The sequence below is a fragment of the Homo sapiens genome, chromosome 20, assembly GCF_000001405.40.
Source record: "Homo sapiens chromosome 20, GRCh38.p14 Primary Assembly".
NCBI classification, from domain to species: domain Eukaryota; kingdom Metazoa; phylum Chordata; class Mammalia; order Primates; family Hominidae; genus Homo; species Homo sapiens.
Window position 1 is genome coordinate 8,011,183 of NC_000020.11, and position 26,207 is coordinate 8,037,389.

General features: G+C 37.6%; 1 protein-coding gene and 1 long non-coding RNA gene across 2 annotated transcripts in view, besides 2 other annotated features; one reads left to right on the plus strand and one right to left on the minus strand.

Moving 5' to 3' along the window:
* The window catches only part of TMX4 (thioredoxin related transmembrane protein 4), a 42,416-nt gene extending 33,837 nt beyond the window's left edge, over positions 1-8,579 (minus strand). Inside the window, exon 1 of the mRNA NM_021156.4 lies at positions 8,256-8,579. Within this exon, the coding sequence (NP_066979.2) occupies positions 8,256-8,431 (176 nt within the window). The 5' untranslated portion in view covers positions 8,432-8,579. The remainder of the gene's footprint in view (positions 1-8,255) is intronic.
* Positions 8,090-8,229: a silencer, noted in NCBI's record as "silent region_12666". NCBI's record gives its function as "represses an Ori minimal core promoter by ATAC-STARR-seq in GM12878 lymphoblastoid cells {active_cell/tissue: GM12878}" and the evidence as "EXISTENCE:reporter gene assay evidence [ECO:0000049][PMID:35858748]".
* Positions 8,340-8,579: a silencer, noted in NCBI's record as "silent region_12667". NCBI's record gives its function as "represses an Ori minimal core promoter by ATAC-STARR-seq in GM12878 lymphoblastoid cells {active_cell/tissue: GM12878}" and the evidence as "EXISTENCE:reporter gene assay evidence [ECO:0000049][PMID:35858748]".
* On the plus strand, positions 8,724-17,447 carry TMX4-AS1 (TMX4 antisense RNA 1). The gene is made up of 7 exons (NR_184034.1): positions 8,724-8,922; positions 9,209-10,079; positions 10,877-10,973; positions 11,199-11,267; positions 11,375-11,585; positions 12,089-12,270; positions 16,479-17,447. It is a non-coding gene; the product is annotated as a TMX4 antisense RNA 1 (long non-coding RNA).
* The last annotated feature ends 8,760 nt before the right edge of the window (positions 17,448-26,207 follow it).

Below are 26,207 nucleotides of genomic sequence, written 5' to 3' on the forward strand. Positions count from 1 at the left end.
TTTTCATTTGTTCCATTCCTGAATTGTTTTTACAAAATGTGGCACCTATTATTTCTGTATTAAGGGAGGAAAGGGGCCAGGGGAGAGAAAGAGAAGTAGAAAAGAATGCCTGCCAATAGAATATAACACTCACACACACAAAATGCCTTAGGAAGGGAAACAAAGTAAGGGGAAAAGTACAAAACTGATCAAATCCTGTAACAAGATTTAGGCTCAAAGTTGCCTGTCAGGTCATCATTTACAAATCCCTTCAAAATTCTGAACTGTGCAAAAGCATGCTGGTAAGTATCATTAAAAAAAAAAATCAATGCAATGACACATATAAACCAACTTTGCTGAATAACAAAACAAAAAACAAAAACTGAAATTGGGCAAGATTTTGATCTTTCGCATTATAAAAGATGAGTCAGGGGTTAAAAAGCGAAGACTAGGGGAAGGAATGCATTTATTTCACAAAAAGTACTGAAAATTAGGCAGAACCCAGAAGAGAATGGACTACCCAAAGCCAAAGCATTCATTACTTTCTCCAGACAGGCCCCAGAAGCAGCAAGACTTAGCAAGCACAGTTGTTCACCATCTCTAGAAAAGACTACTATATAGCTAATTCCAAGATCATGCTAAAACATCATTAATCTTTCCATTACAGCTCACTGTCCAAATCCTGAGATCCAGAAGACAGGAACAACAAAATAATCTGCTGACATCTTTGAATGTAGATTTTTTTAAACCTTCGTGTCTCTGTATTTCCAAGGCAAAGTACATTCTTGATATACAGTAGGTGTTCAATAAATGTTTGCTGAATAAACAAGTGTATCAACTTTAATGAAAATCATATTCTTCATCTGAGAAAATAAGTTATTTTCTATGTAGTTTCTAAATATCCAAGTTAACAGATGAGACTCAGGCAGTTGGCAAACTTTAGGAAAAAAAGGAATTCTGAATTATCAAGTACATTTCAACAAGCGTTCCATGATGTTGGATAAGAGTTCTGCTATAACAATCAGAAAGATCAACCAGGAATTAATCATGATATTCTGGGCAGGTTAATAATCTCTCCATGCCTCAGTTTCCTCAACTGTAAAATGGGATAATAACAGTAGCTACCTTAGGTTACTGAGAGATCAGATGAAATACGAAGCAGGCACATATTTATTTAATAGGAGCAACCATTAATACAAATTTCATTTGTAATACTGCTTGGGGTTCAAGACACTTTTACGATGCATTAGCTCATCTGACCTTACAGCCTCACTGCCAAACAGACAAAGCAGGTATAGAGATGTGCTTAAGACCACTCAGAGCAAGAACACAGATGGAGGTATTTCTTTGATAAAAATCGTCAAGGAATATAAAACTTCAACATTCAGAGGGAGAAAGAAGTTATAAGAAAGTAACAAGAATAAGGAAGTTATCTTGAAGTATAATATAATATAATGAACTTCAGATCCTCTTTATTTCCCTAGGACGCTCTTTGCATATAAATCACAGGCACATTTGCTGCATCAGTAATTATGTTTCATAATTTAAAAAATACAGGACTTAATCTCTAGATAGGCTATTACTAAGTTGGTTTTTGGTGAAACTGACCTTCAGATATACAATTATAATGCATCCTCGGATATGCCACTGAGGTAATTTTAGATATGCCATTTCTACATAGCTGCTATACACTGGTCTGTGGCATTGTTAATGCCATTATTTCACAGATTTAATCACAGCTGATTTGTGTTGGAATGCACCCAGATGTTCTTTCAGTGGTAGAGATAAGCCAGCTCTGAGTCTTTAGCATGGGAACTGGTCCATTGTTGCTGCAGTTTTTAAAGTTTTTAATATTCTTTTGTATCTAAAGAACAGTAATTTGTATAAGAATTTAGAAACTAAGTAAAATATCTCCAGGGACAAAATGAATGCAAGGATCAGTCATGTGACCTTCATGCTCCTCTCTCACTCTGTGTACACATAGATACATATATATATAATTTATGTATATATGCATAAATTAAACACATCAGAAATAATTGAACATGATCTTCATTAAATTTATTTCAAACTAGTTCACACTGGCAATCTTCTCCTAAGAACTATAAAAGATATGACCTGCCATAACTTTGTCTCTTACACATAATCCTTAAGAGCCTCCAAGAGCAATTAGCTCCATTATAGTCATTTAAACTGTAAATTGTTATCTTTTCTACTGAACTTTTGTTGACTTGTTTGCAGGTCACAGTGGTATGTAAAATTAGTAAACTTCATAAACATATTTGAAATATATTCCAGATAGCCAAAAAGCTCTGGTAAATTACACCAACTTACATGTCAGTGCAATGTTTTTAACCATTTCTGGGAAACAAAATTCAACAGCATGTTTTTGTTGTCCACGTTTTTTGTTCAACAGAATGTTTTTGTTGTCCATGTTGTCCGTGTTTTGTTGATGGAACGAGGTTGAAGGACCTTGAATCTTTTATTCCATGAACTTACTGAATTTGGTTTAAGATTTCATTAGGTGTGCTAAATATTTCAGAGAAGGACTTACTTATATTTATTTCCTAGAAAGGAAATTTTATTAACGATAAATTTTTATTTACCAATAATGAACAACTCTTCTTCTGTCTTGACTCTAATTTCACCAGTGTTTCTCAGTACACTCTCTTTTCTCCTGACTTTTTCTTATCTTTGCAGAAATGAGACAGTCAATAACAGATCCAGTCAATTTTCACTTAGTAGAACTTTGATCAAAATGCTCAGAATACTCAGCAACAATGAAGAGGAAAGAGGTATACTAGGTTCATCTTTCTATGACTTAATAAAGGAAACTAAATCAAAGTGTCAACAAAAGATGCCTTAACTACATCAAGTGTTATTCTTCCTTTTGGCAAATGTGGAATGACCCATGAATTGAAAGCCTTATGCTCAAATTTATTTCTTTGGACAATAATTTCTAGAACGTGTTATCACAAAAGGTAGAGGAAACATAAAAACTGGCAGCTCTATGAAAATCATGACACCTGCTAGAGAAAGTGGAATTCATGACTTTCACTAGAATTAACACTCCACGAAAGCAGTGACTGCTGCATGACTTGCACCACAGAACAGAACCTGGAAGGTCCTAGGCCACCACAATAAATATTCCATCAGTGAACAAATGGGAGATGATAGTAATTATCCTTAAGACTTCAGAAAATATATAAAGATGTCTCCTTCAGTGATATGCTTGAAGAAGTGCCTGATAAAAGAGCAATTAATCTATTATTCACTCATTTACCTAGTCACAAAGTATTTTTTGAACACAAACTACTTGTTAGTTATTAAAGCTTTGGAGATAAACAGGGAAGGAAAAAAATAACCTTGTTCCTTTACTTAAAAGCTTATAATAGAGGTAGTCAAAGAAAGACCTAGTACAAAAGCATATCAATAAATGTGTAATTACTGGTTGTGATAGGACCATGCAAGACACAACCAAAGCATAGTGAGAAAGAATTTTCCTGGGGCATTGCGATGATGGGAAGGCAGGGCACCTGTTTAAGTGGTGAACAGTGTCAGGAATGAGTATACAGTAAAAATGTTCTTTACTTGCAGAAACTAGAGAGATGGTAAAAGCTTGGATGGGCCTTAGAATCCAGCACGAACAAGGCCTACCCTCATGTGAGTCAGGGTGCTGGCTAGCTGAGGGCCAAAGCAAGAGTCAACCAGGCCCTGTGCCTTCCTCCAGGCTCCCCAGGAGAACTGGGAACTGCAGATCAGAAACTGCAAAGCTCAGGCCTGCATTATAGTTATGGCCTTGCTCCCCACTTACTAAGGATCTGGCATTAGCCAGCTTCTTTTTTTCTTTTTTTTTTTTTTATCTCCACTAGTCAGTAAGAATGGGAATAATACCGCACTAGATTGCTGGAATGATCAAATAAAACAGTTAGTTGGAACATGTGATGTAAGCCATGTAACTATGAACTGTGATTGTGATGATGAGGAAGTGGAGGAGGTGGATGGAAGTGGTAAGGATGACAAGTTTTAATGAGGCTTTAAACCCTTTGTGGAAACCATCTAAAATCAAACATTCGCATGTTTTTAAATACCCATAACAGTATCTAGAGCAGTGGTTTTCAATTAGAAGCATTTGGAAGTATGCACAGGGAATGGGAGTTACAATTTTTTGATGTCGCATGACTGAGACTACTACTAGAATATAATGGGCAAGTATGCCAAAGGTTCTGCAACACGTGGGCCATTCCCACACACCAAAGAACTGTCCACCCAAAATGCCAATAGTGTCCTGTTGGGAAGCACTGATGAATGTCCAACACAGAGGAAGCATTCATTAAACATTTACTAAATAAATGAACATAACTTATACTACATATTTCCTTCAGAGCACAATCTCTTGGAAGGCTCATTCTTCTTCACCTTCCCAGCTCCCCAACACTGAACCTGACACACAAGCATTTAGTGAGTTGTCTCTCAAACATTCCATCAAGACATCAAGACAATCTATTAAACTGCAAGAAATTCTAACTTGACATGGGCAAGTTAAGGTAATGATGTTCAACACATTCTCTCCAGGTATAAAGGAAGGCTGGAAAGATAATACTAAAACCTAGATGTCCTATGGAAATAAACAAAGCTTTGCTCCATCACCAGGTGTTTAATTTAAATTTTGAAACATGATCATTCCAAAAACAAAAATAAGAAAAGGCAATAATTTATAAAGATTTATATGCTTTACAGAGGTAAACTAACCCAAAGACATACTTTTCTTCTGAGTATCAGCTTGAATGTCAAAATTAAGCCACTTGGCTATCTATTTCTTCTGGGGGAAAAAGCCACCAGAATGTATCATATTACATACTTCCATGTTTCAAAAGAACAAAAGTCATTTTCTCCAGGACTGACATAATGAGAGCCAAGCAAATGTTGAAAGTAGCAAAAGGTTGCAAAGGAACTGAATGAAGAATAGTATAAAACAATGGCAATAGAGAAAAGCATGCATCATACAGTAGTTTAAAGATTAGATCATTTTTCCTAATTCAGAAAAAGGGCAAACGAGTATACAATAAGCCCATAGCCGGGTGCCTGTATTCCCAGCTACTTGGGAGGCTGAGGCAGGAGAATTGCTTGAGCCCGGGAGGCAGAGGGTACACTGAGCTGAAATCGCACCACTGCGCTCCAGCCTGGGCGACAAAGTGAGACTCCATCTAAAAAATAATAATAACAACAATAAGCCCATAGCATTAAAGAAAATGTATGTAGCAATGGGAGAACTTTTCAGATTTCTAAAATCATCAGAATAGAAACGGTGAATTACTGCAAATATACTTTTAACTCATACATTTTTAAAACACTGGAAATTCAATTGCAAGAATCCAAAAAATTGACTGTTTGAAAGACTAAGAAAAAATAACCAAATTTAATTTCATAATAGAAGCTTTTCATGTCTCAGGGCTGCCAAATACTGCTAGATTCTTAAGAATAAATTATCTATACCAATATAACCAGAAACTGCATTAGAGGGGATCTGTATGACGTGGCGTATAAAAGAAAAAATTCCCAGATGAAAGAGCGCATATAAGCAAATGAACAAATAAAGAACTCTCATTCAAAGTAATGAATACATTTTGATATCGGAAAGCTTCTCAATCTGTGTCTTTAAAGAAGTTAACTACAACAAAAGCTTCTCAATCTGTTTCTTTAAAGAAGTTAACTACAACATCTTTGAACTACTAACAATTTCCATTTATGTATGACCAGCTCATCTGAACTAAGTGTCAAGATGAAGCTAATTTTAATGCATTTTGTTTTTCTCTGTTATATACATAAAAAAAAAAATCTGGTAACGTATAGGCTATTTAAATGAATTCTTAGAAATTCATAGCAGGCCTCTAGTGGTATGGAGGATATAATGAATTTTATATTTTTTTAAGTACTGGAGTTTTTTTCACAGCAAGGAGGAGGAGTATCACCTGATAATACAGAAAAAAATAGATCACAAATAGATAAGAACCAAAATATTTCTTCAGGATGAGCACTTGGGTTTTAGTGCGTATAAAGAAGTTGGATGGAATGGTTTGGATCAATTTTCATTGACAGCCTTGCTTCCTAGCCACCTATTCTGAAGTGCACTCGATAAAAAGAGAATGTCTACTAAAATGACCTTGTGTCTACACAGCTTACTTCCAGATTACAAGACTCATCTGGCATCACAGGCCAAGCATATTCCATACAACTGGACACATGACAAACTCAGAGCAATTGATTACTATGTTTAGGTTTATACATTCATAAAAAAGTAAAATTTGAACCATCAACATGGCCAAGCACAGATGTTGTTGGCTCTCCCTCAAAAACTTATTGAGGCTTTAGTGTTCTTAATTCTATTACCAAAAAAAAAGCAATTCCAAAAGGAACCATAGAGGAGTTGAAGTCATTAAAAATGAGGAGGCCTTTCTGTTTTAACTTTTCTTACATACATATGCAAACTCAGTTTTACCCTGAAAGATGACATCTAGGAAAAAGTCCATTTTGTAAGCACCTACTGAAAAGAGAACTTTCTGTAGTATTGGCTGACAAAATGCAGTTTATCCCAAACTCTTAAAATTATTACAAACATGGAAGTCTTAACACAGCTCCACTTATTTTAAAAGTTTCTCAAATAGAATATGACCCCCTCACCTTCTTCCAAAAATAGTTAAGTGGAATATTTTAATAATTCATGTCTACAGTTCCCTTTAATAATTTCATTGATTTATTATGATACCAAGGGTATTTCATTTGGAGGTCTAAAATATCCCCTTCTTTGTGACTAAGAGGTAAATGCACATTTGAAGGGGTGATATGCCTTATGTTCTTCGAGCAATGTAATCTGCTGTGTGACATAAATTTTGGCTCTGATCTCACACTGAGGTTTTCACTCCATAGGCACCTGCTTGCAATTTAAATTGAAAGAATCAAAACTTGGTCTTGGATAAAGGAAAGATCCAATTTTCTGTCTGTGTCCTCAACGTAAAACAAAGATTCAATAGTAGTATACAGATTGCCAGAAACCACAGGCTAAAGAGATGTGGCAATTTCCTGAAAGATTTTATGTTTGGGGGGTGGGGGCGGGAGGGGGGCAGGTAGGGTGGAAAGGAGTTGTGGGAGGGGAGAGAGAGACAGAGAGAGAGAGAGAGAGAGAGGAGGGAGAGAGAGAGAGAGAGAGGAGAGAGAGGAGAGAGAGAGAGAGGGAGGGAGGGAGGGAGAGAGAGAGAGAGAGAAGAGAGAGAGGAGAGAGAGAGAGAGGGGGAGGGAGGGAGGGAGGGAGGGAGGGAGGGGGAGAGAGAGAGAGAGAGAGAGAGAGAGAGAGAGAGAGAGAGAGAGAGTCTGCAAGCCCACCATGATGGTCTCTCAAGCCCGCTCAGACATCTGCCCACCATCCACTGCAAGCCTCTTTCAAATGGTCACTTCCTATTATAAGGTTAAACTATAATCAACAAATCCCTTTCTTTCTCCTAACTCAAAACTGTAGTTTCCCATCTCCTTAAAGAAAAGGCACTATCCACCATTTGCTTTCTATTGTTAAAAGGGGCAATGCGTATCTTCTTTTCTTTATGGCACAATTATTAATATTACTCAGAAAGTCCTACCTTTACAAGTTATAATAAGTATCAACATTTATTTGAAATCATACTGTAAAATTTAAAAGGCATCCATATTTATGTTTTATTCTCACAATGACATCTCCAGGTCTTCAAACGGAAGACTACGACACAAATGGCCTGCCTTCACCGTGCTGCAATTTCTTCAACAGGTAACTTGCTTAGCCTGTGCTACGTATTCATACTGCACGTGGATGTCACTGAATGTCCTTTCTCTTCCAATACATATCTGTATCTAAAAGCACACGGTTTGCTTGCAGATTTTCTTCCTTCCCTTCTCCTCCCTATGGGAAGCTGCCCACTCCACCCCGAAAACACTGTCCCCCAAAGCAAGGGGACGCGCTGCACCCTCGGCTGTCACCGCGAGGGCTCGGCGCGCATGCGCGGCGCGAGCGGCCGGGCCCCACAGCCGCAGGTCGTTGGTAAGGCGGGTCCGCGGACCCCAGGTCGAGCCCAGCGGCAGTGCAGGATCGCAAGCGGCCCGGCACCGGCGCCGCAGGTTGTTGGCAAGCCTGGTCCGGGGTTTTAGGTTGAGCCCAAGCGGCAATGCGGGATCGCCACCGGGCCGCGCGGGCTTGGGAGGGTGACGCCCGCGAGGACACTGCGGCGTCCGGGGCGGGCGGGCACACTCACAATTTCAGCATCCACTCGCCCTCCATCACCAGCGTCCAGTTGGAGGCGGTCATGGGCTGGACCCGGCTCTGCTCCGGCGGCAGCGCGGCCTCCTCGGGGCCTGCCGTCGCCGCCACAGCCGCGATCCAGGCGGCCAGGAGCGCCGTTAGCTGCGGGCCGCAGCGCCCACCCGCCATGTTGGGCGCCGAGCGAGGCTTCTCGGCGGGGAGTGTGGGGAAGGGCAGCGGCCGGCCCGCAGCCTCGCTCGCCCGCCGGGTTTTTCAAGGAAGCGGGAGACGCAAGGGCCACCCCGCCTACGCCTAGCGGCGCAGACTGGCGGTGCTCGCAATGCCGCGGAGGACGCCACCTCTTATCGCCGCTTGCCCGTCGAGGCCACGCCCCCTCCCGCCTCCACTTGCCGTTGCCCGGGGTGTCGGTTACCTCAGCAACCACCGCCCTTTCTTCCTGACCGCCAAGCTGACAATAAACAGATGACCCAACGTTGCCTAAGTTAGAACATGCACCGCTGCTGCCCAGGCTCCAATAAGGGCAGGGTTGGCGCGTGTGGGCTTCTCTAAAGGGAAACATGGCCAGTAATTTTAAAATCCATCCCCTCTTCAATGATAGCAAATATAAAAGCAACGGGCTGCAAGGTACACGTATGTTTAATGAAAAATGGAGGGACGTGGTGAGTATCTCCTGCTGAAGAGAGAGGAAAATTTAAGTACTCTGCATGTGTATATTGAAGCATCACTAATTTAGGATATTGATGAAACTAGCCTATGCAATTGCATTTTTTTTACAAAAAATGTTAATTTCATAGAAACTCTTAAAAACATGGGTACTAGCCGATAAAATGAGTCAATTAAGACTATTGCCACCTGCAGTAAAATGGACCTCACATTTCTCTTGACTACAGTTTTGTCAGATCTAAAATGAGGGTAGCCTTAAGTGATTTCCAAATTTCTTTCCAGGTCACATTAGATGAATCTGTACCTTGGGACCACCACACCGTTAATATATAAGACTGGATTACAATTAAAGGATGAGGAAGCTTTCTCAAAGGGTGCTTTGTATGTGTTTACTAGTTGTGCAAACCATGAACCTCGGTAATGTGGTTAATAGACCATGAAAAGGATGTGGTTTCTGCCCTCGGCTTAAAACAAAGACAGCAATAAGACTAAAAGTACTTCAGGGCACATGAGAGCAAATTTCAATCAATACTTATAGGAGAGGGAAGTTAATTTTGCCTGAAGAGAAGATCTGGCCTGCATTATGCATTAATTAGTATTAGCTAAAAACTATGTGGACCTAGCCCTTATCATTAAAATAAAACACTCAAGGGTTTACAAACTATTGAAATTTAAGAAAATGTCTTTGCAATGAATGCTACTAAGACTCACTGTTATTAAGTACATACATATCAATTCCATAAACTCAATGGAAAACATTTTACTGTGCTTGTAAAAAGAAGTGACTCATAAACAGGAATTCTGTCATTTTATCACTTTCATGATAGAATGATGTGTAGAATTTGTTTTACAATGCTCCAGAAATAAAATGTAGGGAATGGAAAGAAGATAGGTGAAAGAAAAGTGGTGCAACATCAGTCAGTGTTGAAGCTAAGTTCATTTTGCTACTTTACCTACTCATGCATATGTTGGAAAATTTACAAAATGAAAAGCTAAAAGGAGAGAGAGCATCTTCAGCATGAAAGACAGCCATTACCAAAGCATTTCCTATCTTTAACAAAAACTGAAGTCTTAGCCTTCAGACTAAGGATGGTAGGAAGAAAGTAGCAAGGAAGTATGGGACTGACCTTGCCGTAAGGAGTCACAGACCAGGGTAAGGGACCTGTTGCTGTCAGACCATGATTGGCATCTTAGCCCTGACACTTCCTAGCCATGTGATTTGGGGCTAAAACTAGTCCACACCAAAGTTCTCTTAAAATGCGGGTAGTAATAGAACCTGCTCCAAAAGGTGGCTGTGAAGATTATATGAGATAAGAATAATGCCTAGCACATATTCTAACTCAAAAAGCTTACATATTAGGTTGGTGCAAACATAATTGTGGTTTTTGCCACAATATTGCCAACACTAATATTATTATTTGGAGGCAACAATACGCTGTAATGTCTATTTTTCTTATACTAAAGTTAACTTCACTTAGCATGATACACAATGCCTCTCACAGCCCAGCTTCAGTTTTGCCCACTTTACATTCCACTATTCCCAGAGTTCCCTGTGTCCTAGTAACACAAAGCTACTCCCCATTCCCAAAGCACATTGTGTACTTCAGTGTCTCCTTGCTCCTTCATTCTGATTAGAACACTCTTCTCCAGTTGTCCAGTGAATCATTCAGTCTCTGTCATGTAGTCCACACTGTACCTCTGATAGCTCATGCAGAATGAGCTGCTGTCTCTTCTCAGATCCAATTGCTCTTCTGTATAACTGATATGGTTTGGCTCTGTGTCCCCATCCAAATCACATTTTGTAGCTCCCCTAATTCCCACGTGTTGTGGGAGGGACCCCATGGGAGATAATTGAATCATGGGGGCGGGTCTTTCCCATGTTGTTCTCGTGATAGTGAATAAGTCTCATGAGATCTGATGGTTTTAAAAATGGTAATTTCCCTGCACAAGCTGTCTCTCTTTTGGCCTGCTGCCATCCGCGTAAGACATGACTTACTCCTCCGTGCCTTCCACCATGATTGTGAGGCTTCCCCAGCCATGAGGAACTGTGAGTTGAATAAACACTTTTTCCTGTATAAATTACCCCGTCTCGGGTATGTCTTTATCAGCAGCGTGAAAATGGACTAATACAATAACTTCACCACATACCTTTCATAGTATAATGCATTTATATGTAGCTATCACCCTCTACCCTCACTCCTCCAACCACTACTAAAAACTCTTCAAGGTCAAGGGCTTTACCTTATATATCTTTGTGTCCCCTGTATTGCAGAATACCCATCCCATAGATGTACTTGGGATAGACAGCTTCTGGCACTCCTCCCAAGATCTCTCCCTCCTGGTATTCAGGCCCTTGTGTGATCCTTTCCTCTTGAGTGTGGGTTGGGCCTGGTGACCCACTTCTAACAGAAGATGGGAAAACTGATGGATTATCACTTCTTTGTTAAGGTTACAAAAACCTGAGACTTCCATTTTGCTGGAAACTTCTTTTCCTCTTGCACACTCACTCTGCGACTCTGTGTGGAGAGCTCCATGTGACAAGGGAGGTCTGCAGCCTAAGCAACTGAGACCTCAGCCCAACAGCCCTCAAAGAACTGGATCTTCAAACAACCACATGAGTGACCTAGAAGCAAATCTGTCACCAGTGCTCTTGAGACGGGTGAGCCTTATAAATGACCCAGAACCAGGGGGCAAAGCTTAGCTTAGCTGGGACCTCCACCCACGGAAACTGTGAGGTAATCAATGTTGTTACATAATATCAAGCCACTAAGATTTGGGGCAATTTGTTATGCTGTAATGCTATGCTAGGTCAGTGTGTGATCCATGTTTATGTTTAAAACGTGGATTTACAGGTTTAAGAAGATTGGTACCTGGTACTAGGAGAAAAGGCTTTTTCCCCCAGAGTGATGGTGGCACTGCAGGGCAGCTATGATTACACAAAAATATGTGGTTCCTAGTAGGCAAAGGAATTCCTAGGCCTCTGATGAGGTAACATCATTAGCAGGAGAGAGGGGAAGAAGAGTGTGGTAGATCCTATCTAGTCCCCCTCTCTTTCCCTGCCCCACAGAGGAGGATGCTCCTACACCCCTCAGAAGTTAGTCATATTTATATGAATTGGCCAATGGGCTACAAATGGAAGGGGTGGGTATGTATCATTTCCAGGCTGAAGTATTTAATCACCGGCACAAAATGTCCCAGTGTTCTGTTCTCCTGCTGTGGAAATTTTAGAGAAAAGATCATGATCTAAGAGTCTACAAGACCAGAGCAGCCTGAATTGCTGAGCTGCCTGGTGGAGAATAGCAGCATTGGGTGGTTCCCAGGATTCTTAAAAGGACTTTACAAAGGTAAGAAATACGTTTTCACTATGAGAGATTATTCAGGTTAACTATTTCTGCCTAATCAACCATCCCAAAACTCACCTCTCATGGTTTTGGGGGTTCAAGAGCTCAGCTGGGCTATATTTGCTTGTACTCTTTTATATGGTGGCAGACCCCTGGAGGCCGAGGCCAGAATTAGTTGAAGTCCCTTGCACCCACATCTGGCACTTAGTGTAGGCTGGCTGGAACAGCTGGGGACTGCACAGGCATTGCTCTTATCCACGCAGTCTCTCCATGTGGCTGGCTTCGGCTTCCTTCAGCATGGCAGTTTGAGGGCTGTCATACTTAATTTCTCTAGAGCAAGAGTTCCCAGAAGGTGGAAACTGCATTGCTCTAGAAGTCTAAGAGTGTCGTTTCTACCTCATTCTATTAGTCAAGGCACTGAAGACACACCAGACTGAAGGGGAGAGGAATTAGACTATCCTTTAATAAGAAGCAGCAAAATAAATTGCAGCCATACTATCAAAAAGCCACTCTGAAAATTTGGAATTGTCACTGAAGCATAGTCTAGCCTATTTTGACTAACTCACTGCCTTCCTTTGAATACTTATTTATGAACAGCTGAGAGTTCTTTATTTTGGAGGGGAGGTGATATTTTCAGAGAGCAGAGTAAGAACTGCCTCTCCGTTTTTACCTTCTGTGAGTAGGTCCTGTAAGATGCATCTTATGCAAAGGTATTGGAGAAAATGATTTTCAAGCCTGTGGGCGGGTAGATGGATTGATGCCTTGGTATTTAAGTGTTCATTAAATGTTACAGAATTTTTGTTAAGCTTATTGAAAAAAAGATTCAAAAGTGTATGTTGAGAATTATGTAAACACACCTATTTTACCCTTGAATAATGGAGTAGGAAAACGATTTACCAAGAGGGATAAAACTTATATTCTAATGGTAGAAAATTTTAATACATAGCTATAGACAATGCCTTTGATAAAAGTAGGTCAGGACTTGATATTAAGAGGATAATCAATGAAAGATAAGGAGATGGTATTCAGATTACAAACTCTGTAATAATAGGGTATAGTTATACAATGGTTTTCCTAACGAAGATGGTAAAACCAGTATGGAAATATTAAATAAGTTAAGCAATGCTGTAAAATTAGTCCATAAAGTAATAATAGTACAAAAATTTAATTACACAAACAGATTTGCTAAATGCCTTACAGGAACAAGAGGTAGAATGGAGAATTTAAATAGGACACAGTAATATTTCCTAGAACAGATGGTAGAAGAAACCATGAATGATGAAAATACACTGAATTGCACCCAGGCTTGTGCCTAGAGACAAATCCAGAAGACTTGATAAGCCTCTAAGAAGCAACCCCAGGACAATGTCATGGTGCAAGAAAATCATCTAATTATTTTCAGAACTAATAAATGAGCTGAGGAAAAGAGCAGTTACATGCAAGAGAAACATACAAGTCAATTATTTTCCTGTACACTGCTTAGAATTAATTTTAAAATGTAATGTAGACAAAGATCTCATTCAATAGCAAAAAAAAACCCTTATGTTTCAAAAAACTAATAGAAATATAAAAGACATAGAAAAAACTGCAGGACCTTATATGACAATTATCATAAATTAATCTATAAATCTATAAATCTAATGCAATACCATTGCAAATCTCACCAAGTTCTCTTCTATAGAATTCTAAAGATCTACCTTAAAAATAATGCTTAAAACCAGCCAACAGGATTTTGAAAACGAATAATGATGTAGGTCTTGGCCCTCTTAGATATTAAAATCTGCTATAAAGTTACAATTGAAGAGGGAGGTATTGACATGAGAAGAAGCAAATAAATGAATGGTTCAGAATGAAGACTCAAAAAACAAAACCATACGCTTACGGGTATTTAGATAGGTTAAAGGTGGTATATTAGTCAGGATAAGATAGACTTAGGCAGCAGTAAAAAAACAACCCCTAAAATCTCAGAGGCTTAACTCAAAAAGCTAAGTTCTCTTTTGTGCAAAATTGACTTTGGGACGAAGAGGTTCTGTAGGGAAACTATAACTTGGGGAGGGTCTACACAATACACATTGCTTAAATCTTGTATCTCTGCTGTCGCAACATGAAACTTTTTCCATGATCACAGAAATATAAAAGGCGGCAAGAAGCTTTTTCTTTCTTATCCACAAGTAACACCTAGCAATCCAGCTCATAGGCCATTGGCCAGAACTAATCATAAGACCTCGCCTAAAAGAAAGAAAAGATGGTCTAACATGGGAACTAAATATTGATGAACATAATAATGTTCACACATGACATTTCAAACCAGTGGGAGAAATTCGACTAATATACAATAGTGTTAGAACAATTTCCTCTTCATTAAGAAAAAAAGTATATCTCTACCTCAATCTATATCCAAAATAAGTTCTAGATCCACTAATGAAAGAGCACAAAATTTAAACTGCTCTTGGAAAAGTGTTTGGAAAATAATTATATAATCATCTAGTGGGCAAAGCCTTCCTACGTAACATATGAAACACAGAAGCTATAAAAGGGCTTTAGGAAATTTGCCACACAATTAAAAAAACATCAAGCAAAGTCAAACCAGGTGAAATGATCTGAACTATAGATAGCACTCAAAGGTTTAGTGTCACTGAAATTCAAAAAGTTCTACAAATAATTAAGAAAAAGATATTCAAACCAGCTGAAAAATATGGAATATTACTTATAGAAGAACAAAAAACAAATGACATATGTATATGAAAAGCAGTTCATACATACTGCTGATCAGAAATATACATTTTATACCAATACAGTTTGTTGGATGATTCCTTTTGGGGTTAAAGCAATTGTGATTAGGACTAGCCATGCTGTTATTGTAAAATCTTCAGTGGACTCAAATCACAACAGCTTACGTTTTGTAATTATTTCCCCCTTTCATTTTTTTTTTTATTATACTTTCTGATTACATGATATTGGGAGACTGGCATGTGTCAATTTTAAGGTAAGAGTAAATGGAAATGAAATATTGGTATAATATTCTATACCAATTGTGTGCCTCAAATTGTACATTAAGGAAACAAGAAAAACAACTTCAGTGTATGAAAAATTTGCCTCAATAATGTTTTCTGCTCTCTAATAATCACCAGTCCCTAGATGTCATTTTGATTAATACAATTTCTTAAAGTTTTTAATGTATTTACCTACACTTTTCTTTTTGTTAGTACCTTTTGTGACCTATTTAATAATTTTTTTTTCCTTAATGTAAGGCTACAAAGCTACTTTTCCTATATTATCCCTAAAAGTTTTCCAATTGTGCCTTTATTTTTTCAGGCCTTTTCACTCTTTAACTTTTTAATACTGTGAAGTAGGAGTTTAATTTAATCTTTTCTCAAATGGGTCCCCAGTTGTACCAGAAACACTTAGTGAACTGTAGTAACTTTCCCTAGTAATCTACCACTCTGTCGTAGTCTGTTGGTACATATGTAATTCAATTTCTGAGTTGTCTGTTTTGTTTCGTTGAACTATTTGTCTTTCCTGTACTAACACAATACTGTTTTAATTAGTATATTTCATGGCACATTTTGATATCTGATAGATAAAATTGTACTCCTTTGTCTGTCTTCTTTATTAGTTCCTTGGGTGTTCTTTTCTATTTTTTCATATACATTTTAGAATTATTTCATTTTAGCTAATCCTAAAATCAAACAAACAAAAATTGCTTATTAGTTTTATTGGGGTTACATTGGTTATATAAATTCAGGTAGAGTACTCCTTTTAATACACCTTAACGTCCTTCATTAAAGTTTTATATTTTCTCTATATAGATTATACAATTATTTGTCATATTAACTACTAATTATTCAACTTTTAATTCTATTTTAAATGGTCTTTTTATCATTTTTTTCAAACTGTATTTCTGGTACATAAAAATACAAATGTTTTTGTATATGTATATAAGTTTTGTAAACACCAATCTTGCTAAACTCTTACTAATTTTTAAAAAATTGTCTGAAGCTTTGTGGCCAGAAGAGTTCTAAGATGATCCCTAAGATTTCTGCTCTCTGGTGGGCACTCCCTTTGCGTGTGGGCAGGGCCTGTGAGTATGATGGGATGTCACTCCATGAATAGGTTTAGCTGTGTGGCAAAGAAGAAAGGATTTTGCAGATGTGATTAAGGTCTCTAATTAGCTGACTTTGAGCTAATCAACACGGGCTTATTCTGGACAGGCCTGGCCTAATCACTTAAGAGCTCTTAAGGAGTGAATGGGCTCTTCCTGAAAAAAGAGCTTCTGCTAACCCTGAAAAGCAAGCAACAACCCTGTGAACTGCTATGGAGAGAGATGGCCTCTAACAGCTGAGGACCTCAGTCCTACAACCACAAGAAACTGATTTCTGCCAACAACATGAATGAACTTGGAAAAGGCCCCTGAGCTCCAGATGAGAACACCCAGGTCAACTCAGGTCATGAGCAGAGAACCCTGTTATATTCTCCTTGGCTTGTGATCCATAAACAATGAGATTATAAATGTGTGGTTTTTAAGCCATTAGGTTTGTGGTAACTTGTTACACAAGCCTCTTTTAGATTCTTTACATACACAAATATATTCTAAACGAATAATGAGTCTTCCTTTCCCATCTTTATACCATTTACTTCTTATTCTTCCCTTACCGCTTTAAGACCTCTAGTATAAAGTTGACTAGAAAAGGTGGTAGTGGCATTATTGTGTAGTTCTTTATATCAAAGGGAAGATTTTCAATGTTTTCATGTTAAGTATGACATTTACTGTAGGTTTTTCATAGATGCTCTTTAATCAGTTTAAGCAATTCTTGTCTATCCCTAGAATTATTGTCAGGAATAAATGTTGACTTTTATCGAACACTGTTTCTGCACCTTTTAAAAATATCATATTTTTTCCTTCAAATGGTTACTGTGTTGAATTATATTAGCAGACATTCTAATGTTAAAGTAACCTATCATTCCAGAGAAAAGGAGGTGAGAATAGCAGTTTAGTTATGATGCTGTATCCCTTTTATAAATTCTTGGATGCAATTTGCCAATATTTGGTCTAAGATTTTTGCATTATGTTAATGACTGGAAATGAGTCTTAATTTTCCTTTATTTTTCTGGCTTCTTTGTGTTTCGATATCAAGAATATGCAAGTCTCATGCAATAAATTCTATGGAAGAGTTGGTTAAGATTGCATTTTTTTCCTTACATGTCTTATAGAAATGAGTGGTAAAATATCTGAAAATGGAGGACTACTGAAGAATTGGATATGGTTTCTTCAGGTTGTAAAGAAAAATATGTTAAGTATGCTAACACTTAGAAACACTCAAATATAGCAAGCTAAAATTGTTTAATCAATTAACCACTTTTGTGGAAACATATCTGCAGAAATGGAATGAGACTATAAATTAGTGTTTCCTGAACATATTTCACTATCAAACACTTCTTCAATTTCAGTTTGTAAAATAAAGTGTATTTTGTTTATTTAAAACTTTCTTCTTTCATTCAAAGATCCAAGACAAAGAATGTGTTTAGTCTAGCGTTTTATAAACATGAAATCCTGAATATGACAAATGCATGCTGAATTTCAATATTTAATCGGCATACATCAGTTTGTTAATAAATGTTCCTTATGTATTAAAGCTCAGATTTTGCATTTATGATGCATGAAGAATTATAAATCATGTGGTTTCATCCCGTTGCAAGAATACAATGCCACACTCAAAAGTAATCTCAAAATACTTGTATTTCTCAAGTCTTTTGAAAGGGACACTTAAGCCACATAGTGCTTCTTAAAATAAATAAATAAATAAATAAAATAAAATTCTATTTCTTTTCCTACCCAATACCTTCTACATCAAAGCTGTTCTTAAGTCTTTCTCTAATGCATGCACACATACACACACACACCCCTAAAAAACATAACACTTTTCTTAGACCTTGGTCTCTTGTTCCTCTCTTCCTTCAACAAGAGCCACTGAAGTTACACATTCTCTCAAGGATGGGAGAGAAGAGACTGAAGAAGACAAAACAGACTTCACTTCAGCAGCCAAGTGGAAAGCTGGGAACACTGATAAACATGAGCCTCGTGGGCTTCCTATTATACATGGATAGACCACACCATTTATAAAGGTGAATTATGGCACGCTAACAAGAGCAATTATGTGTACCGATTTGGCAAATTTTACTTGTATTTCTGAAGATTTTCTAGGTTATTTTATCCTCTTGATTAATTTTTTTCTTCAATAATACACCTATCAATTTTCTATGGACTAGTAGGTTTCCAAGAAACATGATTTCCACAAAATGTACTGTTTTTTAAAGCATCATTTAGTATTTGGACATCTTTTTAAATTACTTCCTTCAAATCACTATCTTTTAGGTGACTTAGAAATGTCCTTGTTGAAGATGTACTGAATAATAAAGTTTGTAGGTGCAGCCTACAGCCCAGTGTCAACCATATAAAAGATATTTGAATATTGTTTGTGGCTTTAATTCATCACAGGCCTTTATGACTTTTAGTCATGTGAGTTTATATGGATAACTTCAGCTTCACATATGTCATAGACATCTCATAAGTTCATATTTGCAAATGATCAGCTGAGGTTTTATTAAGAAGAGCATAGTAAAATAAGCTGCAGTTAATTTATTGACAGAAATTAAAGCCATAGCTCTCCTTCTATTGCTAATGAAAACTATTTTTTAGTCTCCAAAAGACAAGATTTAGAATATATATCGAACACTTCCACTTGTTAATATGGGATTCTATTTCAAACACTGTGAATTCGTGAACAAGTTAAGAGAGAGGATGTAGGGTTATCATGGATGTTCTGAAGTGGGTTGTTCACTCTTTCGTAATTTATCGAGCTACATGCTTGTGGTTTGTATACATTCCAATATTTGGATTTTCCTTTAATTAAAGTATTTGAAATTCGTGTTGTTGAAGTTTATTAACATGATATAATGTTGATCATTTAGGAAATTATAATAAATAGGTTATAAAATAGCCCATTTAGTGTGATATCATGTTGGAAAAATATATGTTTAATCAGAAAGAAAAAATAGTTGAAGGGTATACACCAACAGCTTGCTAGTGGTTAATGAAATTAAAAGGTTTCCTAGTGGTTAACAAAAAACATTGTAGTGTGTGCTGTAGCTAATACAGTTTGTAGACATTTCTTTTTCTTTTTCTTTTTTTTTTTTTTGAGACAGAATCTCTGTAGTCCAGGCTACAGAGTGGTGCTGTGGTGCGATCTCGGCTCACTGCAACCTCTCCCTCCTGAGTTCAGACGATTCTCCTGCCTCAGCCTCCTGAATAGCTGGGACTACAGGCATATGCCACTACGCCAGGAGAATTTTTTGTAATTTTAGTAGAGACGGTTTCACCATGTTGGCCAGGCTGTTCTCAAACTCCTGGCCTCAGGTGATCCACCCACCTCAGCCTCCCAAAATACTGGGATTACAGGCGTAAGCCGTCACACCCAGCTCATTTTGTAGACATTTTGACATCAGGACACAAAAAGCTTCCTCATTTTTTAATGGCTTCTATGTATTTATGACTAATTGAATCAATTTTCCATTGATGGCATTTAGGTAGTTTCTAAGCTTTTACTCCTGTAAATAATGTTGCAAGGAAAATCTTGTACATACACTGCATTGCATATTTGTAAGTACATCTGTAGAATAGTTTTCTAGAAGTAGAATTGCTGACTTCAAGGAAATATGCATCTTAATTTTGACAGCCAGGTGCTCCACAGCAATGGTGCTCCATGGAGTTTGTCTCAATTATGCCCCTGTAAGCAATGTACGAAAGTACCTGTTTCCATGCATCTTTGCTAATGAAGTTTGTAGTCACCTCATTTGTCTCTGAAACTTAAAGCAAAATATGTAAAAAGCACAAGGACAAATATTTTGGTAGTATTATAAGTGATGGACTCTCCTTTTGTCTTTTCTTTTTAGCTTTTGTAAGATTTTCAAATTAACAGGAAAAAAAAATCAAATTATAGAACAGTATTTATACTATACCACCATTGGTGTAAAAAGGGTTAGGAAAAGAATAAAAGTATGTATGTATGTATGTATGTATGTATGATGTATGTATGTATGATGTATGTATGTATGATGTATGTATGATGTATGTATGATGTATGTATGATGTATGATTTATGTATGTATGTATGATGTATGTATGATGTATGTATGTATGATGTATGTATGTATGATGTATGTATGTATGATGTATGTATGTATGTATGATGTATGTATGTATGTATGTATGATGTATGTGTGTATGTATGTATGATGTATGTGTGTATGTATGATGTATGTGTGTATGTATGATGTATGTATGTATGTATGTATGATGTATGTATGTATGTATGATGTATGTATGTATGTATGATGTATGTGTGTATGATGTATGTATGTATGTATGATGTATGTATGTATGTATGATGTATGTATGTATGTATGTATGCATGTATGTATGTATAAGCTTAATCATCCTTTAGGAGTCCAGGTAACATACAGACTGTCACGAATCAGAGATACATTTCCCTACAGCATGCTTTATTTAGGAATGGCAAGGGCCTATGCAATTAAAACACTCAGATGCAGCAGAGAGGCCTGGGGAGTCATGGTGGCTCCACAGGTGCTGTCACCTAGAAAGCCTTTCTTTTGGTGAAATTACAGAACTGTGAAGCATTTCCATTATAGACCTGGATACTGCCCATGCCTAGCCTACTTGAACTCCTGGGAGCTCCCCCTCCTGAGTGATTCAGGGTTCTATTTACTATGGGCTATCCTAAGCCAGGACTGCCTTCTAATGGCCCTTCAGAGATAATGCCTCTTCCTCCTACAAATATCAGTTAAGTCTGTTTATCTTGAGGTCCAGATGACTTGGAAGTTAGACTAGATTCCCTGCCTTTCTCCTGGGGACATGTCCCCTAAAAAAAAAAAAATCCAAAAGTGAGTGGATTTCAAGTAGCCAACTTAATCCTTCCTTTTAGAAGGATACACAACAGTATTTTAGGGGTGCAGGAGAGCTGAGATCAGGATAAGATGGAGATTTTAAAGTGAATTTTTTTGGGGCCATGTAAGTGTATTACTTATTTTAAAATGATTACATAACTATAATTAACAAAAGTAATAAAGTAGAAGCCTGCAATTTATAACCAATACCACAAGATATTTCTGGATTCCAATTGTATCTATATTCATGGAAAATGCTTCTATGCATGGCTAATCTAATTTTGGTAATGGAGTATTTGGCATAGAGAAGATTGGGACCGAGGAGGAGAATGTGACAAGATTAAAATCCTTGGGAACATTATAGATTCTTGTGTTTGGTTTTGGATCTCTGCCTAATCAAAGCCTTTTTTTTTCCCCTCCTGAAATATATTAGTGGATTTTATACGCTTTTTGAATGTATTAATGACATTACCATTTTTAAGTTTGCCCATTGTATTTGTAACTGTGCTTTCTGACGTAATGGAAAGGCTTCAGGACATCACCATATTAATCCTGTCTTTGTTACTTTATGGCCTTAAGAAAGACAAAACTTTTTTGTCTCGGGTGCAGATATAGTATGGGATGATGAGGAAAGCCAGACAGACCTAGGATTTAGGCTGGACTTGGCCTGCCCTTGCTATTTATGTGACTCAACTTCTCTGAGTTTCACTAACCTGATCCCCATCTGTAAAATGGGACTATCCGTGCCAACTGTTTTAGCCTACATTCCCTAGAAAACAAAGCCTATGGCCAGGATGAAACCATCAATATTTAATTTGGGGGGTAGGAGGGCAAAAATCTGGAGCAGCAAGTAAGAGAAAGAAGAAACATGAGGCAAAAGGATATAGAGAGGCGTGGTAATCAGCAGCTGTATCCACTTGGCACAAGATTTCCTGGATGGTTAAAAAGATAATCCATGCATCCAAGGAGGAAAAGGGAATACAATTGGCTGAGCTTCACACATCTCTTTCCCACTGGCCGGAGTTTGCCTCCGTGGACTTTACCTCCCTGCACCATCTAGTGACATCCTTTGGCCCCTTCAGCTGCATCTTGGAATGCCATATGCCAAGTCCTGTGGTGTGACATTTCACTGAAGTCCTTGAGTGGCTGGAGGAGTCAGAACTCCAGATGAGTCTGCCTGGCTGCTTTGTGGTGGCCAAAAGGGAAGTTCCAGCATTCATGGGACAAGTAACCGTCAGCCCCAGGAGGTGGGCGTGAGCCGGAGCAGAGTTGGCATTGTGTGGAAGTGGCTGAGACAGAGAGTAGCTGAGGTTCTGGAAGGTGGCTGGTGCCCAGAGAATTGTGGACATGTATAATAACATTTGCATCCAATATACCCAGCTTCCTTTGTGTGTGTGTATAATGGCTAAATAAAATAAACTATTTCATACCTCATATATAGAGGTACTCAACAATGCTAGTTCCTTCAAATGCTGTTTGGTGAGAGGCCCGTCTATAAAAGCAGCCACCAAATGCCAAAGGAGCGAAGAAACCAAAGAATGAGGCAAACAAATCTAGTTTATTGGTAAAAGATATTTTATTGGGGGAACTTACAGACTGAAGCAGTGGTCTTGGGTGGCCACAGGACACCTTTACTCCCAGACCCAGGGCTCATATACCATACAGAAATGTATAAATGCTCTGTACAAGGCAATTAAAGGCAACCCTCCAGAACAGGCAAGAATACTGTGTGCACCATAGCCTATAATTTGTGCAATAACATCAAGGATGACATATTCTTAACTAGGGACAGTAAATAAAGTAGGAATCAGGAGGCATTCTCAGGACTGGGAGTAATCAGAAGTCAACATGGTGGATTAGCATCCAAGATGCAGTCACTTTTGTCTCCATAAATGGATACAACAGCTATTGTAATTTTTTATTAGGGATACAATTAAAACTAAGAATATATTAGGTATGTTTTCTTTGAACATTCCAGAAAACTCCTCTAGTAATCACCTAGTTTTAATAATTAGCAATGTTTTCTACACCTCCATCTTTATTGCAGCACTATTCACAATAGCCAAGATATGGAATCAATCTAAGTGTCCATCAACAGATTAAGAAAATGTGGTGTATGTATACACAATGGAATATTGTTCAGTCATAAAGAAGAATGAAATCCTGTCATTCAAAGCAATATGGATAAGGCTGGAGGACATATGCTAAGTGAAGTAAGTCAGGCATATGCTAAGAAAAATAAATACCATATGTCCTCACTCATACGTGGGAGCTTAAAAACGCTGAGCTCATAGAAGCAGAGAATAGAATTGTGGTTATTAGAAGCTGGGAAAGGTAAAGGGTAGAGGAAGGGGAGAGATAATGGATACAAAATTACAGCTAGATAGGAGGAATGAGTTCTAGTGTTCTACAGCACTGTAGGGTGATATAGTTAACAATATAGTGTATGTTTTCAAATAGGTAGAAGAGGATTTTGAATGTTCTCAACATAAAGAAATGATAAACATTTGAGGCAATGGATATGTTAATTACCTTGATTTGATTACTACATATTGTGTATAGGTATCAAAATACACTATACACTATATTGACAATTATTATTCAGTTTTTAAAAAGGAATAATAATTAGCCATATTGTTATTCTTGCTTTGTTAATATCTCCCTTCACATTGCTTTTGCTACAAATTTTAAAGCAAATTCTTGGTATAATAGTTTTTTAACAACAAAAAATTCAGAGCTTATTACTAACAAATAAGGACTTTTTAAACAAATAAAATCACCTTGGTATTATCATATCTAGTAAAATGAACAAAATTTATTCAAGATTTGGGGGATTTTTTGTTTTGTTTTGCTTTATTCTCCACAGATAATGTGTCTTCCTATCAATGCAGAAATAGATGATCACAAGGGAGGAGAAATGTCCCAGGAGGGCAGACACCAGTACAAAAGGGTCTCTATTGCCTTCCCTTTCCCTCCTTTTTCTACCTCCTCTACCTGTAGTTCCATCTCAGCCTGCTGAGCCACGACCATCTCTTCAACCACAATTGACTCTTTTGCCTCCACTAAATGCTGCTTACGTGGCTCCTGTCCATTCAGCTCCCATGACCGCCACCTCTGCCCCTTTTTGCTTCACTTTTTCACTGGTATAACTTCCACATTTTGGCGGCCAATTTGACTACACAGTCACTTAGCTTTAGGAGATCAAGTAATCTCATTACCTACAAGAGACTTAAGCCTAGTCAGGTCCATCTATTACATAATAGAAGACACTCAGGTTTGGGAAAGTTAAACAAATTATTCAGCTCTTTCCATTAGGTATATAAGATTATACTTTTTTCTCTTATGTAGATTTTTTGCCTGAATCCAGCACTTTAGCCCCTCAATATCATGTTAAAGCTTGGCTTTGTGCTTGTACAGATATTCTTCCTAGCTTAGCTTCATCAAAAATTTTTCTAAGCCTGCTTTTTATATTTTCAACCAGGATTTGTTAAGAATATTCAGAAGCCTAAAGTAGTTAGTCCACCTGAGACCTTTTTTGAGGATACCATCTGGTCATTGGTTCTGATGGTTCAATCCGAATTGCTTAATGCTGTCTGATATTCAGATCACCCCGGTTTCTTAAACATGTCTTCTAACTGTTGATATGATCAGGTTATAAGGTTGACACATTGTTTTTGGTTGATGTGTCTATAAATTTTAGCAATAACAGATCCTCTTTCCATACCCCACAATTCTATATCGTTTATGTTTTGAAGAAATGTGCCAATTTGTCCTGTAGAAGTTTCTCAGTTTTAATTAATATCATGTCGTCAAATCCACTTCCATCTTTCACTCCTGGCAACTATGACCTGTTACTGGTTGGTATAGTTTTGTTTAACAGAATGTCATATAAATGGAATCATAATATGTAGACTTTTAAGTTTGGCATGTTTCATATAACATAACGCATTTGCGATTCATCCATGTTGCTGTGCGTATCGGTAGTTTGCCGAATATACTCCATTGCTTGTGTATCTATTCTCTAGTTAAGGAACATTTAGTTTATTTCTAGTTTTTGGCAATTGTGAATAAAGCTATTACATACATTTGAGTAGAGGGTTTGGTGTGAATTTACGTTTTCATTTGATTTGAATGGAATTTCTCTGTCCAATAATAAAGGCATGTTTAACTTTATAGAAAACTGCCAGTAGGAAGTACCATTTTGTATTCCCATGAGCAATGGATGAAAATTTCAGTTGTTCCACATCCTCATCGGCAATTGGAATTGTCGGGATTTTATTTTGTTTTAGTATTTTAGTTATTGTAATACGAATGTATATAAAGGACTATTATTCTAGCATAAAATGAAAGAATCGATACATGGTACAACATGGATGAAAAAGCATTATGCTAAGCAAAACAAGCCAGAAGACGCAAAAGGACAAACATTGTATGATTTCACCTTTATGAAATAGCTACAGCAGGCAAATTCATAAAGACAGAAGGTAGATTAGAGGTTACTGGAGGTGTCTGTCCTCTGTGCATCTACAGTTTCATTCTCAGCCTCAGCACTCTCCCAACAGGCCACAGCCACAATACCAATGTCATAGAATTGGTCACTCCCGGGGGTAAAAGGGTGGAGTTTGCCCCACTTAGGGAGGATGAGTAATGTTTTTCATCATTTTAAAAAACAGTTTCTGAAAAACTGATAGAACATTAAGGTGACCATAAAAACTCTAAATGTTCAGTTCTCTGATGTGAGCAAGAAAACATGCTACACATTTACAGGTAATATATAAGGTATTTAGGAAGTCTTTTATTTTGTTGCTGCTGCTGCTGCTGTTTTTAAAGTACAAATGTGGAGTTCAGCTTAAGGTGTGTGAAAACTGAGCAGCCTTTTCTTTATTGGTAAGTAAAATAATAAATAGCAGGTAACCAAACAAGAGAAAACATGTTTAAGAAATATACACGCATAGATATATACACAAGTTTTATTTTTA